The following is a 19,213-nucleotide window of genomic DNA, read 5'->3' as shown; positions in this document are numbered from 1 at the left end:
TTGCCTTTCCCACCTGTACTCTCCAAAAGCAATAGGATAAAGTGGAAAGACAGATTCAAGTTCAAAGTCTGGTTTGGCCACATAAAGGCTGTGTGCCTCTGGGCAAGTGGCTTAACTTCCCTGAGCTTCAGTTTACTCAGCTGTAAAGCAGAGATGCTTGTCTGTCTCTCAGTGAGGACATTATGAGGATTAAACGAAATATATGATATTTAAAAGTTCCTAGCACAGGGCTTGGAGATAAATATTTGTTTCTCTATGGAATAGCAGAATAGGAGCCTAATTCTGGAGCCAGCCAGCCCGGATTCATAATCCCAGTCCCCACCACTTATTAACTGTGTGACTCTGGGCAAGCTGCTAAACCTCTCTGTTCTTCAGTTTCCTCATCTGTGAAATGGGAATGATTGTAATATGTGCTATTGCATAGGATTCCTGTGAAGTTTACATAAATGAATCTACATAAAGCTCTGAGCACAGTGCTGGCACATGATGCCAATAAGAGTTGTCCGTTGTGATTATTTTGCTAGAAGTTGAGTTACTATTGCAAGAAAAATCGCAGTCCATTTCATCTCCCATTCCTTCTCCACCAACAAAAGGGCTAGAGCAGTGGTTCTCAACAGGAGGTGACTTTGCCCCTCGGGGACACTGAGCAGTGTCTGGAGACATTTTTAGTTGTTGCAACTGGGTAGGGAATTAAACCAGGCATCTTAGAGGGTAGAGACCAGAGATGCTGCTGAACAGTTGACAATGTACAAAACAGCCCCCACACAAAGAATTATCTGTCCCAAAACATAAATAGTGCTGAACTTGAGAAGCCCTGAGCTAGAGGGATTTGAAGACTATCCCATCCAACTTCCCATTTTACAGATGAGGTCAGGGAGGCCATGAGGGACGCCGTAAGGGTAAAGTGATTTGATAAGCATCTTAGTTGGGTTTATGGTTCACTTAGTATGCATTATTCATTCAACATGTATTTGTTCTTTCTTTTATGGCAGGCATCGAGCTAATTAAGGAATCCAGAAAACTTCTATTTTGATCTTTTTTTTTTTTCTAGACAGTCTTGCTCTGTCACCCAGGCTGGAGTGCAGTGTCACGATCTTGGCTCACTGTCACCTCTGCTTCCTGAGTTAAATGATTCATGTACCTCAGCCTCCTGAGTAGCTGGAATTACAGGCATGCACCACCACACTCAGCTAATTTTTGTATTTTTAGTAGAGATAGGATTTCACCATGTTGGCCAGGCTGGTCTCAAACTCCTTGCCTCAAGTGATCCACCCGCCTCGGCCTCCCAAAGTGCTGGGATTACAGGCATGAGCCACTATGCCCAACCATATTTTCACCTTATACAAACAGATTCTATAACATATTAGGGCTAGCTGGACATTGGAAAAAGCACTGGTCCAATCCCTGAGAAAACTGAGGTACTACTCAATAATCCCCAACACTGGAGGGTTCAGAGTCCCCCCAAACTTGATAAAATCTATGTTTCTTGAGAAAAAAATGCACATAGACACATGCATAAATATGTTGATAATATCAGAATGCCCCCAAGTCCCTGACTCCCATCCATAGAATGTTGAAGACTTTAGGTTTAAATGCGGGAGAAGAGTCCTCCTTTAGAAAGAGGAGAGTATGACCTGGCTTATGGTTGGCTTGTCAAGCCATAGGACAGATGTCTGCCTAATTAGATAATTAGACATAGCAAGTTCCAGGCATTATTACTCACTTCTCCCTCTGTCCATATTTTGGAAAAAATATATGCCAAAAACACAGGGGAAGGTGGAATCAAGATGGGAAGGTGATAGGGGTGTGACAGATCCTGTCAACAACAAGTCTCTCTGACTTCCTCCTCCATCACGGCGTCTGGATGCCAAGGTTAATGACAAATCCTAATTACTTTTTTGGGCCCATCTGTTTAGGGAAGCTGACCTCGAATGGAAGCCACCCAACTGCCAGTCCCTTCACAGGCAAGATATGTGAGCAAATGCCTTTGAGAGGCTCTGGACAGAGAGAAATATAATAAGGATAAAGAGGGCCTTACCAATGCCAGGGAGAGAGGTGGAAATGCAAACCAATTTTGGAGGCAAATGTCTAATTCCAAACTTAATACATTCTAAAAGTCCTGTGAGTAACCTAGGTGTGGCTTTGCAACTCACAAAGGGGCCCTTTTATGCTCAGGAGAAGTGCTCAGCAGCCACGTGTGTCTAGCCTGGCACCTCTGGCCACTGCTGATAGGATGAGGGGCAGGCATCTAGGGCAAGCTAGGTCAATCAGAGTTCCTTCCGTAGGAATTTGGAATTTAGACTAAGAAGAGCTATAAAAACTGGGAGACTCTAGCTAGCGTGGCTATATTTTCTAATATATGGGATGAGAAGTAGGCCTTTTATGAGGCTAGGCTGTGTTCTTGTCCTCAGATCCCTGGAGATATCTCTGAACCCTTATATCAAATTTCTCTTTCTACATAATGGGATAAAGATAGCCACCAATAATGCCTTCCTCCTCTGCATGCACATGCCATTTATCACATAAGGAGATAGGATCTATTTCCTGTCCTCAATAGAAAGTGATGGAAATGATACCCTGCCAGTTCCAGACCCAGCTGTTAAGAGACCAGGCAACACCTATCTTTGCTCCCTTGGGATCCAACTGCCATGTAAAGGAGCTCAGGCCAGACTAATGAATAAGGAAGGATGAAATGCAAAGAGAGGGGCTACCTGAAGAGCACCAAGGTACAGACGGGGGAGTAAAGCTTTCTTGCACCTTCCAGCCCAGCCCAACCACTGACTGAATGCAGCTGAGTGAGCAAACCTAGCCCACGTCCCCTGAAGCAGAAAACCTGCCCAGCAGAGCTCTGTCTGAATCCTTAACCCATAAAATCATGAAAATAATACACTGTTTTGCTCTAAGCCACGAAGTTTTGGGTGGTTTGTTATATTGCAATAGATGACCGAAACAACCTAGCTGGAATTAGTTTCCTTTCTTGTGAGCAAAGTGTCCTAACTAATATAGAAAATCTGTAGCAGTCGGGCATGCAAAATAAATTCTGAAATCCCACTTGGCACTTATATAAGAAATGTGGGGGCAAAATGAGGTTGGTTAATGAGTTTCTCTTCTGGCCATCCTCTCTCCCTCCTGGGAAGCTGAAGAGAACAGAGCTGGGTTGTGAACTGAGTGGTGAGTGAAGATTTAGATTCCTCCTGGCAGAAGCCCATGAGCTCCATGGAATGAAGCTGCTCTGGGTTGCTGCGCATGGCCTGGGGCTCCCTGGGACAGCTAACCCTTGCAAAACTGCCCCAGGGAGGCAATGCTTCCTGGTAAGCCTGAGGGCATTTCTCTCCTGGAACTCTCAGAACCACAGCAGCATGCAGACTAGCTCTGGCAGCTTTGGAAGGTAAAGACAGGTTAATAAGAGCTGAAAATAATAATTGGGCCAGCACAGAAAGGGTTTCAACTTCCAGCTCTCAAAATGTCCCCTCCAAACCTGAGTAATTAAAATTTCCATGTTCTACAGAGCCTAGGAATTTGCAACACATCTTCAGGAAAAACATCTCAGACATTTAAGAGCATAGTTCCGAGAGTCAGCCAATAGGGATGTGTACCTTGCCTGCATACGACCTTGGGCAAATGACCTAAACTCTCTAAGCTTCGGTTTCCTCACCTGCAAAATGGGGATAATAATAGCTTACTTGACAAGGTTGAGAGGAGCAGTTAATGAGTTAAGCACATACCTAGTAAGTGCTTAATAAATTGCATCCATCATGATGATTATTTATCATGTTTATCAACAGTGATTTCATAACTCTCCCAGATAGCTTTCACTCAGATAACAGAAAAGAACATTCAGCATCATGGGGCTGATGTCTGGACCCAGTAAGGGACACAGCTACATTGGCGATTTCAACATAGAAGGAGCTCATTTACTCTGAGAGGTACAGCCAGCAATAGGGTGTGAGGCCCCTCACCAGACACCCCCAAAATACTGTAGATTCTGAGCAGGAAGAATCTTGAGAAAGAGACTGAGTCATTTGATGGGTGGGGAACTGAGGTCCCAAGAGCTCACTAACTGAGATCCTCATGTTCTGCAGTGGGAGCCCCAGTTAGCACCCCCATTTTCAGTTTGGCTCCATGTCTGATGTTTCACTTGGCTTTCATCTGACTCTTCTCTGATCCCCTCCCAGGGAAGTGTGGGTGGAACAGGAATCAGGGCAGGTTTGAGTTTATAAGACACAAATAGCATTGGGTTTGCCTCTGGCGATGCTACCAGCAAGGGCTGGCTGCAGGAAGGGCGCTGTGGAACAACCACAGCCAGAATCTTCCGGGACTGTCCTCCCCACTCTGGGAAGCCAGGCAGAAAACACATTGTCTCAGCAAAGGGACATTCTGTCACCAAAGACTTGGCCCAAGCTCCCCTGGAAGCCTCTCAAATCTCCTTCAGGGGAAGCCAGGGGCTGCTAGAATTTCAGGACTTGCCAAACAGGAGTCTCAGGGCAGACTTCTAGAACAAAGGCTTCAGCTAGTGTCAAAAATCAGCTTTCTCATTAAAAAAAAAACACCTCACCATTAAATAATTGCCATTATTTATTAAGCATGTACTTTGTACAACTCACCACGATAATCCTTTGCATGCTAATTAAATACTCACTCAGATGTATGTGATAATGTTATCCCCATTTTGCAGATGAGGAAACTGAGGCACAGGGAGGTAAAGTGGCTTATCTAAGGGCATGCAGTGGGTAAGTGGCAGAACTGGAATTTGGACCCAGATCTCCCTGACTGTGCAACCCCAGCTCTTAACCACAATGCTCTGCCACCATGTCACCAGGTTGGTAGGGAGAATACAGCAGGGCATTGAAGGTAAAACAGGGACCTCATTTACCCTGTTCTAGATCATTTAAGCTGGGATCTGCTCAGTCCACAAGGACCTCCCCTGACCCCCAGAGGCAGCCCAGTGGCCATGTTGATACAACTGGGCTTGGCACGCCTGGCTGCAGTTGACTGGACAAGGAATAGTATCTGACATAAGCCAGTCAGAGTACTTTCCCTGGGAATTTGGACCCTGGATAAGACTATAAACTCCCAAGCCTCTTGGCCACAGGCAATGTAGAAAGAAGTTGGGAGATAGCCTCATCTTCCATGTTCATTCATTCACTCAACAAATATTTTGCTGTGCACCTATTATGTACCAGGCTTTGGGAATATGGCAGTGAACAAAACCGGCAAAAATACCTACCCTTAGGAATCTTAATCTAATGGGGAGAGACGTACAATACTTAAAGAAAATATGTAAAATATAAAATGTGATAGCTGGTGGTAAGTGCCATGCAAGAAAAAGGTTGAACAGAGTTCTTGCTTTCACCGTTTACCTTTAACATACATATCTTTCCTTCCCTCATGACTGAGGCCCATCGTTGTATAAAGATACACACACATACACACACATGCACACACACACACACACACACACACACTGCCAGTCTGGAGAACTTCCCACTCCTGAAATATCTTTTAAAAAGCAAAGCAAAATAAAAACCTAACTCCATAAGCAAGCCTCTCAGACCTATCCCCTCCGTGACCACCCGAGGAGGCTGACAGAGGGCCAAGTGTGAAGCTGACACATCCTGTGGCAGATGTTTGTCACTTGTCAACAACACCCCCTATTTCCCTAGCCTGCCCTGAGTGCAATTATCTGCAGAGGCTCAAATCAAAGGCATCCACTTCCTGCATCCCCAGAGCATCATTTTCCATCCAAGAACCTCGTTAACCCCCAGCTGAGTGTCTGGGTAGGGAATCAGTGGGCATCTCAGTGCCCAAATCCGCTGTAAGCAGTTGGCAATGGCTTCCCCTGGCAGAAGGGCTTGGGTAGGGGCATAGGGTGGAGGTGGTATCCCAGCAACCTGCCTTCCCATTTCCTGTTTGATATTCGGGTCTAGGAAGACCACTCCAGTGGCCTCTCTGTATCCCGGCAGCCAGTCTCCATTTATACCAAGAGTCCTCCAAACACATACCCTCACTCCCTTCTCTCAGTCACTCCTCCCACCCTGATGATGCCCCACATTTTCCCCAGTCCCCCAGCTCCAGCCCACACCCATGCCACTCCTTGCTCTCCAGTACTGTCCCTGCTCATTGATTTTGTCACTCTCTTCCACTCTTCACACATCCTTCTTATAAGCCTTGCTTCTCTCCCAAACATGTTTTCATTATCCCCACCCTCTGAGCCCCACTTTCCCCTCCTTCCTACCATTTATTAAACACATAGTGTCACCAGAGCCTGGGTCAGGAACTGTGCATGTGTCATCCCAACACTTACAAGAGTCTTATAGGATAATTACTGTTATTTCCCCCATTCTGCCAGTAAGCAAACTGGGGCTCAGAGAGGTCAAGCAACATGCCCAAGATCCACAGCAGGCAAGTGGGGAGCTGGCATGGGACCCCGGGTTCTTGGAGTCTGGACCCATCAGGTTAACCTCTGCTTCCTCACTCACATGCTGCCTGACTGTTATAGGACTGGTTTCTCCGATTGTCTTAAGTAACTAATTTCAAACATGCTCTCTCTTTTACACACTCTTTTTTACCTACTCTCTGTCCTCCTAACCTTGCCCTCAGCTGTACCTTCTGACACCTACATGGCTCTCATCTCCAGAACACATCCCTATGCAGCTGTGATTAGCTGAGACACCTGATGCTCACACCCACCCCGCTTCTTGCAGCCTCCAATGACATCTCCTCTTTCCCTATCACAAGACCCCTCCCCCTGCCCCTTCTTCAATGCACCCCCAGCCAAGAACCTCCTCACTCGCAGCCCAATCTCTCCTCTAGTCCCTTTTCTCTTCTCCTAGCTCTCCCAACTCATGCAACAAAGATCCCACGTCTGCCAGTGGGGAAGGGGGTGGGGCGGGGAGGTGGCCCCGTAAGTCACAAATGGCAAAGCCCAGAGGCAGCCCAGCACACCCCGTTTGAGGCCAAAGCCCTGCTCCAGCCCAGCACACCCTCCTGCCACAGCAGCTCTGGGGTGAATGGGAAGCGTTAAGCCTCACCCGATTCGCTCCTGCTCCATCTCTTCCATTTTCTCAGCTCGAGCAATCACCCTGTTGATGATTTCTTTCTCCTCATCAGTCAGCTCTTCCTGCTTCCTCTGCCTGTCAGGCTGACCACCGGGGTGGACGGACCAGCCTGCCTGGAGCCTGAAAGGAAATTTGGGAAGGTGTGAGGGTGGGCAGAAAATAGTAGTTCAAATTCCTGCCGGGAAACTCACTGTCTGGGAAACTGTGGACAAAAGGATCATCTCTCTCAGAGCTTCAATCTGCTCCTCTCTGCAATGGGACACACATACTTCCCTCTTAGGCTTCTAATGAGTTTATTTTGCTATGTGCTTAGTACACAGTAGACACTCCATGACATTTTCAGCAAGCTCATGGAAACCTGGAGGGTAAAGATATTTCAAAAAAGATTCCAGAACAGTAGACTTCTACAACTGGAGTGGAAATGATTCAGGACAGGAAGTCTGAAGTCCTGGGTCCCAGGTTGACCACAGCATCTGCCTGGCAGAGAGATGGCTTTTGGGGGCCACATAGCTTTTTAAAATAAGTTTAAACTGGTTGCCAACTAGGTCTCCAAAAATCTCTTGAATTCACATAAATGTCTAGAATTCCAGCCTCGAAGTCTCTGGTAACATTTTGGGTTCTATCTTGTGTTCTTTTTGCCTTTTCTTTTTAAGCGAACACTGACATAACATCTATTGGTGCCCACATTACCTAATTATCTCTCACACATGCCCACTGTGTGCCCGCCTCAGCTTATTATCTCTCATGTAAGTCCCCTGTGTGCCTGCATTACCTCATTCAATCCTCACATCACCCCTACAAGGCAGGGGCTGTTTGTGTCCCTATTTCCTGGTGAGGAGGCTGAGGCATGGAGAAATTAGAGCACTTGCTCAAGGATGCATGGCTGGCAAGTGGCAGGGGCAGGATTCAGACCCAGGGAGCCTGCACAGTTACCCTCCATGAGACGGAAAGAATGGGATCTGTGGCCCCGGCAATGGTTCAGAGAATCAGAGGCTGCTGGGAACAGAGTTAAGGCTGTGGTCTATGACAAATTAGTATCCTCTCCACTAACACCATGGTCCATGACCCAAGGCTCTGAGATGCATCACTGGAGTGGAAGGCAGGGGTAAACACCACTAGAAATTCTTGTCCCTATGAGGGAGAAAAATCAGGAACTCTGAATCCTCAGGAGCCTGCCCCCCATTAGCCGCCAGGCTTGGTCCCTTCTGCTGGCCTAATCACAGCAGTAGGCATGAAATTGCCTTTTGACATTGGAAGCTGGAAATTAAAAACCCATCTTCCTCCCTCCTCCCCATCTTCTGCCATCCCCCCACCTTAGCTAGCTTGCTCTGAAGAGCAGAGAAGGAAGAGTTTGAAGGAAAAGGGAAGCAGATGTCTTGGGGCAAGTCTTGTTTCCAGAAAGGGAAGGAGGACGCTGCCTGGGGAAATTCTGGTGGAAACACACCTTGCCTTCCCACGCGTGCCCTTGGATGGGATGCCTCTGGGATGAGCACATGATAACACTGCTCAAACCCCTTGCTCAGAACTCTCCAGTGGTGTCTCATTGACTTAGAATAAAACTCAGAATTAGGCAGAAGGGATGGTTGCACAACATTGCGAAGATACTAAATGCCACTGAATTTTATGCTTTACAATGATTACTTTTAGGGTATGTGAATTTTACCTTAATAAAAATAAAATCCAGACTTCTTGCTTATTCTGCAAAGTCTTACCTGGTCCGTCCTTTACCTGCCCCTCTGTCCTCATTGCCCCTTGCTCCCCCTGGTCACTAGGCTCCAGCTGCACTGGCCTCTCTGCTCAATCTTAAATGCCCAAGTCTTCTTTTTGCCTCAGGGCCTTTGCACTTGCTGTTCCCCCTGCCAGGAACACTTATCTCCCTGGATCTTCCCTCTCATCATCCTGGTCTCAGAGAGGCTGTCTTTGATCTCTCATTGCCCTGGTTCACTTTCTCCATTGCACCCATCTCTAGCTGAAGTTATCTTTTAAATTTTTTCTTGTTATATATTTATTGCCCCTTTATCTCCCACCAGAACATAGATTACAGGATGGCACGGACCTTATCTGGCCCTGGTTCTCTATTGTGTCCATGCATTTAGATCATTCTCTGACAGCAAGTACATAAAAAGAGTTTTTGAATAAGACCTGGTCCCTAGTGGCCAAAGGAGATGTTAAATGCCTAATTATACAGGTGACATGCAGGGAGACAGAAGCAATGGAGGTTACTCAGCCTAGAGATTGGGCAGAGCTTCTTGAGCAAGTGAGGAGAATTCATTGTGATCCTGGTGAAGATGAAGCTTCAGGGCCCCCTGTTCGCACAGGTACCTCCCGAGGCCCTAGGATGGGCCCTAGCAATGGTCATGTTATCAGGAAAGTTTGCAGAAGCAAGCTGGTTTTGTCTTTTTGATCTTGAAGAGGGCCCCTTAAGTATATAAGCTTTGGGCCCCACAAAGTCATGGCTGATTCCTGCTGAGACCTCAAAGATAAGCTGAAGGCGTGATGGAAGGGAGGGGAGAGATTGAGTCTGGCAAAGGGAATGGTCTCTGCAAAAAGGCTGGAGTAGAGCAAGCAGGCAGCATGCTAGAGGGAAAGAAGACCAGTATGGTGGCCAGCCTCTAGGATGGTCCCCAGAGGTCCCTGCCTCCTGTTATTCATACCCTCCTGTGTGTAGTCCCCTCCCATACTGAATCAAGGCTGATCCGGTGTGACCAACTAAATACAGTGGAAGTGACGCTGTGTGGCTTCCAAGTCATAAAAGACACTGAAGCATCCACCTTGGTCTCTTGGCCAGCCGCCATGTTGTGAGGACACTCAAACAGCCCCATGGAGAGGCCCACGTGGAGGGGAACTGAGGCCCCCAGCCAACAGCTAGCACCAAACTGCCAGCTACATGAGTGGCTCCTCGATCCCCTATGAAGCCTTCAGATAACTGCTGCCCCAGGTGACATGTCTGCAGCTGCATGAGTGACCTTGTGTCAGGGCTGCCCAGCCAAGCCACCCTCCTATTCCTACTCACAGAAATTGTGAGGAATAATCAATGGTTTCTATAATTTTAAGCCACTTTTTTGAGATGATTTGTTATCAGATAACTAGGAAACCCAGTCCAGCAGGATGATAGAGACAGACTGGTAGCACCCTCCCCACAGTGTCTGGATTCATGTTCTATTGCTGCATGACACATTCTTACAAATGTGGGGGCTTAAACTAACACACATTTGTTTTCTCACAGTTTCTAGGGGTCAGGAGGCTGGGCTTGGCTTAACTGGGTCTTCTGCTCAGGATTTCACAAGGCTGCAATCAAGGTATGGGCTGGGCCATGTTCTCATCTGGAGGCCTGATAGGGGAAGAATTAGCTTCTAAGCAAATTTGTGTCATTGGCAGAATTAATTTGCTTGCAGCTGTATGACTGAGGGCCATGGCCTTTTGTTGGCTGTTGAGAGAGTCCCTACCCCAGCTACCAGAGGCTGCCTACATTTCCTAATCGTGTGGACCTCTCTGATCCCATCCTGTGGGCCACTTCCTTCATCAAGTCCACAAGGAGCATCTCTAGCTCTTGTCACCCGAGACAGAGTCTTATATAACATAATGTGATCCCAAGAGTGACAGCTCATCCCCTTTGCTGTATTCTGTAGGCTAGAAGCAAGGCTCAGGTCCTGCCCACACCCAGGGTCAGGGCATTACACAAAGGCATGAACACCAAGAGGTGGGGATCACTTTAAAATCTGCCTGCTGTGGCATTCCTGACAGATATCCTTCCATCCTTGCTTGAATGCCTCCTGTGATGGAGGCCTCACTCTCTTTATGCAGAGCCTGTGCCATGCTGTTGGGAAGATCTTCCATTTGGTGTGCCAATATCCCTCAGCCTGCTGTTTCTTCCCATTACTTTTAAAGGATACAGTGGACTCCTGTGTAATGAAGATCACCTACCCTTCCCGAAGAGCCCCAGTCATAATGGAATTCAGCCACTCCCGAGTCTCACCAGTTTTCATGGAAATGGACACTTCACCTGCCCCTAATTCTCCCTTATTTGCCGCCACGTCTCTTCCTGGATTTCTCTGCTGATCCCCCTTTATTTATTTCCTGCCATTACAAAGCAGCTCAGTGACCAAAACTGAACACATGTGAGATTCTAGGCTTAGTTCCCAGTGAAGACCCTCCAAGGACACATTCCTGCAGCTTACAATCTTGTCAGGAGCCAGCCTGACCTAAAGTCAATGGCTCACACCCCACCACCACACCATTGCCGGTGTTACTGTGCACAGGAAATGCAAGCATCTGAACGCACATGGCTCCAGAGACATAAGCATAGCTGGGGGTCTCCGAGAGGCCCCGCCTAGGATAATTGCCTCCATCTGCAGACTGCAGATGAGCAGCCCTGCTGGAGGCTGCTGGCACCTTTCCAAACCCTTCCCCCATCCTCTGCTCCAGAACACATAGTTGACAAACAGCTCATCGTGTTTGAAAATGTCGCCGATTGGTCTCAGTGGGAACCTGCAAGCCTCCTGTGGATTTTCATGTTTTAATTCCAGAAGCAAACAGACAGAAACAAGATCAGTTTTTCAGACCAAAGCTTTTGCTCTCAGGGGACAGAATGGCTTGTTTAGGTCTTCCTGAGTCGAGGAGCGATGTGGGCACGAGGGCCTCAAGAATCGGTCCTTGGGATAAGACCCTTGCCAAGGGCTTCTGGATACAGGATGGCAGCTCTGTGTCCAGTTTTGGGATCTTGTTAAAGACCGAAGCCGGAGACCAAAGTATTGCTCCCCTTGGACAAGTTAGAGAATTGTATCCAATCCAGAAAATACCCAGAGGGCCTACTATGTGCCAATTTGAGCCCTTGTTGACTTGGCAGAGTTAATGAGTGGAATCCTGGGTCTGACACTTCTTGGCAGTATGTGCTGGGCCTCTGCTCTACTCTGCACCTCAGTTTCCTGGTCTGTTAATTGAGAATGTTAATAGGGCATGCATCACAGGGCCCTTGGGAAGATTAAATGTGAAAGTGCATGCCAAATGCCCAGGACACAGCAGCCCTTGCTATTGTGACCATCCTCTTAATCTACCAGGATGCCCTAACTTTTTAGTGAGGGATGAATTGCACCAGGAACTTTGCAAGCAAACTGATACGTACTCCACATTTCGTGAGACGGCCTCTCCAGGCGAGTACCGGCATTTTCACAGTAACTCATTAGCTAGCTGCTGGCAGAGTAGCCCTTCAACCTAAGCAGACCTGGTGGCTGCCTACAATGACAGCCCTGGCTGCTATGAAGATACAGTAACCTAAGAGAGGGGACGCAGGAGTAGGCTTTGGGGTCATATAGCTCTGATTCCTTTTCTGGCACTGCCCTGCCTGGATGTGCAACCTTAGGAACAGGTTACATAGCATCTCTGAGCCTTAGTTTCCTCATCTGTTAAAGGGAATACTTATTAGTGAGCTCATCAAGCTCATATGAGGGTCAACTAGACCATGTATATAAAGTGTTTAGTGTAGATTCTAGGACTTGGTAAATGCTCCAAAAAGCTGAACTTGTGTTTTCTTTTTCTTATTATTAAATATTTTTGGTATGAAACTGTGTGTCAAATCCTTGCCACAGTGGCAATTCAGTGAAAAATTACCTAATAGCACTGCACATATAGTGGGCACTGAATCTGAATGGAAGAAAGAATGAATGAATAGAATGTTTTGATAGGGAAGAGTAGGGAAGACAATGAGTCACTGACCCAGGGGTGGGAAGAACCCAATGGAATGAAACAAAACGCACAGCCTGGATCACTGACTGGCATTTGAAATCAGGAAACTCTTTGACACCTCAAAGCCATGGTAGTAGCAGTGTCCAAATCAATTCCTTGCCTATCTGCACAAACATGAACCTAGTTGATTTAGCTATTCAGGAGAGAGAGACAGAGAGACAGACGGACAGAGAGAGAGAGAAGGAGAGAGAGACCAACTAACCTAGCTGACTTTAAGTGGCAGGAATGAATGCTGGAGAAGATGAACTTTCAGAAACCTGGACAAATCCTTCCTGCAGCTCCCAGATTTCCTTTCTCAATCTGGATACACTAACCCCAGACCAGAATCTACTGAGATATTAGGATGCAATGGAAAAAAAAAAAAAACCAAAAAAACAAAAAAAACTCAAGCTTTAGATTCAGATCAATCTGCATTCAAACCCTGGCACTCTGTGACTTTGGGGAAAGTATTCTATCTCTCTGGACTGTAATATCCATCTGTCAAATGGAGTTAATAATATTTGTATCATAGGGTTTACATTTACTCTCTTGTTGAATTTTTGCAATATCTTATGATGTAAACATTATTCTCCTCTCGAGTGTACCAAGGTTCAGAGAGGTTAATCACTTGCCTAAGGCCACACAGCTTGAAGTAGCAAAGCCGACTCCAGGAGGGATGTCTTGCGTTCCAAATCACCATGCTATCCTGCCCTTCTAAAAGGCAGCCAGATGGTCCAATCTCACGTTCTATCTCCCAGGCCATAGTCAACTCTTCCAGACCCCCTGCCCCCCTCATCTTAACTATCCGTGGCTCTTGAGTTTAGAGGAAGCATGAATCTCAGGAACTTTGACTGTTGGTTCCAAATATCTTTTTTGTTTGTATATTTTTTCCAACGAGGCTTTTTTTTTTTTTTTTTTTTTAAGAAACAAGGTCTTGTTATGTTGCCCATGCTTAAGCTTCTGGGCTTAAGCAATCCTCCCACCTCAGCCTTCCAAGTAGCTGGGACTAGAGGTGTGCATCACCACACCAAGCTTAACAGGGCTTCATTCTGAGGATCACAGTAGATTGGTCTAATTAGGGGAATGTAAAGTATGGAGACACCAACAGCCCATCACTGGCTTAAAATGCTGATGGTGTGTGTGATGTGAATGGGAATGGAAACAAGCACATTTCCACCAGATGATGAAGAACTTGGGGGCTCTCTAGGGCCTGTCTACCGCTGGCTAATCTGCAAAGAACAACGTGCCATGTCCTGGCTGCAGGAAGAAATGCTCAGAGCTGCCTTTGAGGTGGAAGCGGGGAATTGGTTGTATGCCCCTACCCGAAATACACCTATTATTATTTTAGAAGGTATTTTACTGCCCACTGTAGAACCTACACGCCTTTACTGGGAAAAGATAATGTAAACCCCATCTGGGTACTGGTCTGAACCTATGCAAGCCTCTGGGCAGTGCAGAGGGGCAGCCTGTGATAGAGTTCATCACTTCTCAAACTTTAGCATGCCCAAGATCCACTTGGTGAGCCAGCCAGAATGCGGATTTCTGGGCCTTTTGCGGAAATTTGGGTTCAGAAGGTCTGCGGTGGGGCTTGAGAATTTGCATTTCCAGGGAAGGAAGGAATAAAGTCAGGATGGTTAATGGGTACAAAAATACTCATAGATAGAAGGAATAAGATCTAATATTTGGTAGCACAATGAATAGGATGACTACAATTAACAATATTTTATTGTATATTTCAAAATAACTAGAAGATTAGAATTAAAATGTTCTCAACACAAATAAATGATAAATGTTTGAGGTGATGCGTATTTCTATTACCCTGATTTGATTATTCCACATTGTATATAGGTACCAAAATATCACATGTACCCCAAAAATATGTAAACTATTTTATGTCAAAAAAATTTAAAAATTTAGAAAGAAAAAAAGCGACAAACATTGGGGAAAAAATTAATATTTAATATTTTAGTAAAAGCATGAAATATGGTTTATTATAAGGATGTCCCTAATATTTCACTCTTCTCTGTATCCATGCCCTATGCCATGTGAATTTGAAATTGATCACCAAAGAGTCAGGGTCTATCTTCTTTTCTTTTCTTTTTTTTTGAGATGGTGTCTCACTCGGTTGCCCAGGCTGGAGTGCAGTGGCACAGTCTTGGCTCACCGCAACCTCCACCTCCTGGGTTCAAGCAATTCTCCTGTGTCAGCCTCCTGAGTAGCTGGGACTACAGGCATGCACCACCACACCCAGATAGTGTTTTGTATTTTCAGTAGAGACAGGATTTCACCATGTTGGCCAGGCTGGTCTCGAATTCCTGACCTCAGGCTCTCTGCCTATCTCGGCCTCCCAAAGTGCTGGGATTCTGGGCATGAGCCACCACGTCTGGCTCTAGAGTCTATTTTCCTACTCCTTAAATCTAGCCAAGACTTAGGACTTGCTGTGGGAAATAAAATGCAGGGGAGTGATGTTGCACTAGTCCAGAGGCAATGCCTCCAAAGGCCTTGTGTGTTTCTGTTTACTCTTATACCCTGTCATCACCATGAGAAAACCCAGGATATCCTGTTGGAAGGTGAGGCATGTGGAAAAGAATGTATCATTCCAGCCACTGGCATCTTAGATCAGCCAACCCTTTGATGCATAAATGAGCCTAGCCAAAGTCCACAGAGCCACTCACCAAGCCCAGATCCCTGAGAACAAGTAACTGTTCTAAGTCACTGAGTTTTAAGATGGTTTGTTACACAGCGAAAGTTGATACATTATTCACCATGGCAAAAAAAAAGAAAAAAAAGAGTGAAACTTGTTAGACTTCCTACCCTTATTTTACAGTTTAGCATTATGTTAAATTCCAGTTGTATAATGTTTACCATGATATTTTTAATGCTTTCAGCCACTAAAGGTCTTTATCCAGCTCCACTCTTATCTGCCTCAAAGATTTAGCTTCTGAATAAAGTATTATTCAAAGAAAGACTTTCACTGGTAAGAAAAAGTCTAAAGACCACTGTGGTAACCTGCTCATTTTCCCAGATGCCTGAGACTCACAAGGAGAAAGGGAATTGCCAAGAATCATGACTGGAGAGAGGATGGTCCAGGACTTGAGAAACCGGCCCCGGCCTTCTCAATGTGCTTCATCTGCTACCTGAAGGCACCTGCTCTGGTGCACCATGAGGGGTCAGAATGAAGCCACCCACCAAGGCCAGCATTGGTGGACCCCGAGACAAAAGGAAATTAGCCCAGACTCCAGGTAGAAGCCCTCATAGATGTTTCCCCCTGAAATACAAACAGGGCAAAATGGAAGGCAAAGGACAGCCTTCCATATCTTTCCTGCCTCCCACCTTGATTCTTCATTGCATGCACACAACAGTCACATAATAAATACTCGCCAGATGTCTCTATTAATAAATTATAACTCCCTAAAGGAGTGGGATGATGGAAATGCTGTCGGGGCATGAAGGCTCTGAAGCATTCAACAGCAGAGGTGTGCAGAAAATTAATCCTTTTTCTTTTCTTTCTTCTTCTCCCCCTCCCTTCCCCTTGGATGCCAACATGGGCAGGTGTCTGCAGGAAGTCTCTTTATAGCACAGTGAATGGGATTTTAATGAATCCTGAAGAAAAGGAGGGGCAGCCACACCACAGAACCTTTTGCCCATGCCCAGCTGGTATAAAGGCCCCTTTGGATGAAATTTACCCCAACCAGACTAATGGGAGTGCAGAAGGGATGCTGTGGGTCCCCCACATCCTCAGAATGCCAACGGGACCTGGGGGTCCTGTTAATCTTTTTAGCCAGACTGAATTCCATTCTGTTCTTATAAAATCCCATGTTCTCTCTCACAGTTGGGCTTGGCAGATGCCGTGTCCCCCACTGGGAACTCCTCTGTCTCCTCCACGTAGTGCTCCTCCCTCTCCTGGTCTCAGCTTACACATCACTTCTTCCAGGAAGCTCTCCATCATCACCCTCAGGTCTGAGCTAGGTGACTGTCTTTGTGCTCCACAGTTCACTCTGATTCTATGATTATAGCTCTGCACATACTAGAGTGTATTTGTTGGTGACTGGCCCTTTATTTGTTTGTAGACTCCACTAGACATATCTTTATACTTGGCTAACTGTGTCCCTGGTGCTTAGCATGGTGCTTGGTATTTAGTAGGTACTTGGGGTAAGTGTTTATTAATAGAGGAAGGGAGGGAGGAAGGGAGGGAGGAAAGGAGGGAGGGAGGGGGGAAGGAGGGAGGGAAGGAGGGGAGGAGCCTGGGGATGAAGGACAGAGGGGAAGAGGATGAACATGCTACCTTTCAACCTGCAGCATTCATGAAGCCTCTAAGAACCCTGAGACCTTTTGGAGTCATGAACTTCTCTCTGGTGATGTTCATATTTGTCATCTGACAATGACTCAGCATCTCTCTCCAGCATGTCTGAATAATATATTCATGATTTCATAGAAAGCAGATCTTGCCTGTCCAGGGTCTTGCCAGCCAAAAACAGAGCTTGTAGAGCATTCAAATAGTCTTTACAAGGCAGCTTGTTCAAAGCTCTCACCTGACAGATGGAGAAACTGAGGCACAGGGCAGGGAGAAGAATTTTCCTGGGTCTCCTGGCTAAGTATTAGCTGTGTTAACTAAATCTTTAGAGCATTCTGGGCCTGATAATGTTATTTTTCTCCAAAAAAAAAGCTGAAAAAGTTGTGCAAGAGTCCTATATAAACATAAGGGTAAGGCAAGGCTGTAATTCACACCTTCATCTAACTTTGTTTGGTTAAGCTTTACAGTTGATAAAGCTTTCCTGCAAACATCTCATTCGATCCCACCACCAGCCAGTGAGGAGGGAGGGGCAGGGTTATTGTGCCTATTTTACAAACAAGATAACCAAGGCTCAAGGAGTTGAAGGGCTGTGTCCCAGGCCACAGGGACCGTGAGTCCCAGAGTCCCATGATTGCGGGGAGAGAGGTAAAAATGACTTTCCATAGTTTCTGAATGTGTGCACGCAACTGAAGATGGGGCTGCTTTGCAGTCTGGTTGCTCATTTATTGGACCCGTCATCCAATCTGTCATGCATATTTAGGAAATGAATCCAATTAAAAACACAAAAGTTGTGAGAAAAGATAGGGCCTCTGCTTCAAAGGTGTTTTGCTGGGAAATCAGGATGACCTCTGATGAGGCAACAAAGACCAAATGTACAGCACATAACAATCCAGAGCCCTGCCCTGTTCATCGTCATCTTTTATTCATGGTAGCAGTTATTAGAGTTAACATTTTCCTTATCGCAGAACAGTGTTCTCCAGCAAAATGCTGCAGAAACAAGGGCACTGAGTGGCCAATAAACTTGCTGAAATCCTACAAATCACTAACAAGAATTGAGGGCTAAGAAATATCTTCCATCCTTTTATCAAGTTTGGTATGAGTTTTTTTTTTAATTTTATAAATATTTTTTCCTAAGATGGGTGTGGGTGTTTTTTTTAACTTAGCTTTTTAAAAAAATGTTTAAAATTTGCTAGTTCCTTTTTTAACCATCTCTCTTTAGGGGAAAGCCACCTTGATCAGAGAAAGAGATAAAATACAGTTTGTAAAAAATAAATAAATAAGTGTTATAAAATACTCACTGTTCTTTATCACTGAAGGAAGGCAGAGAAAGGAGAGAAAGAAAAAATGAATAAAGTTAGGTAAGAAATCATAACAATATCTACACTGTCTGGATGCAACACTCACGTAGCTTGAATTATGATGACCTACTTCCATTTTGTTTCAGCCATTATTACCTTATTTCAGCATATCTAACACAAGGCTGCTTCAACATAGCATTATGAAATTCACATCTTTGATTAAATTGACCAGCCAGTTTGGCTTATTAATTAACTGAGCTGATTGTGTATGTATTTGAATAATGGTTTAAGGGCACTAAAAAGGAATCACTGAATGATCTCATGGCCATCATCATTCTTGCTTTCTGTTATTTCAAACACTGGGGGACAAGGACCATACTAGGTAGAGCAATCGGCCCTGAACAGTAGACCTTGTAGTTCCCCAGTTTGGGGAGGCAAGTTCTTCCACTCTAGACCGGAGACCAGCATCTCCGATTATGAGGCAAGCAACCAAAAGCAGGTCATATCATCTCTTTGTGCCTCAGTTTCCTCCTTCCATGTCTGGCACTCTCTGGCTTGCAGACTTAAATGCTAGATAGAAGTATCAACTGTCAAAGACCAGCATTTCTCCCCATGTATTCTTAACATGAAAACTGAACCATTGCCCTAACCAAGCAAGAAGAAAACGCATTCATTTCTCTCAAATTCCCCTGTTGTTGGTTTCAAACATGATCATTAAATTTAAGGAGGGTGAGAGAGAAAGACATTTGAAAATAACAAAAGCAGGAAGCGTATCTAGCTAGCCAGCAGTTAATTATGACTAGATTTGTTAATTTACTGGAGAAAGACATTATAAGTGTCTG

The 19,213-nt window shown here is 45.6% G+C and overlaps 1 protein-coding gene across 9 annotated transcripts in view; it reads right to left on the bottom strand.

Annotated features, from left to right (window-relative positions):
• RPH3A (rabphilin 3A) overlaps positions 1-19,213 on the bottom strand; it is a 323,646-nt gene that overhangs the window by 44,008 nt on the left and 260,425 nt on the right. For 7 of the 9 annotated variants that reach the window (NR_145127.2, NR_145126.2, NM_001347952.2 and 4 more), the window contains 2 exons: positions 18,372-18,383; positions 7,032-7,178 (listed from right to left, as the gene is read on the bottom strand). Coding sequence is in view for 7 of the 9 variants with exons in the window: in NM_001347952.2 (NP_001334881.1) it covers positions 7,032-7,178; positions 18,372-18,383 (159 nt within the window). In the remaining 2 variants the exon portion in view is untranslated. The remainder of the gene's footprint in view (positions 1-7,031; positions 7,179-18,371; positions 18,384-19,213) is intronic. The other 2 variants (XM_047428540.1, NM_014954.4) reach the window with 1 other exon arrangement.

The sequence above is a fragment of the Homo sapiens genome, chromosome 12 (assembly GCF_000001405.40).
Source record: "Homo sapiens chromosome 12, GRCh38.p14 Primary Assembly".
Taxonomy (NCBI): Eukaryota; Metazoa; Chordata; class Mammalia; order Primates; family Hominidae; genus Homo; species Homo sapiens.
The sequence above is the reverse complement of the archived record's forward strand: the minus strand, read 5'-3'. Positions and strand labels throughout refer to the sequence as shown.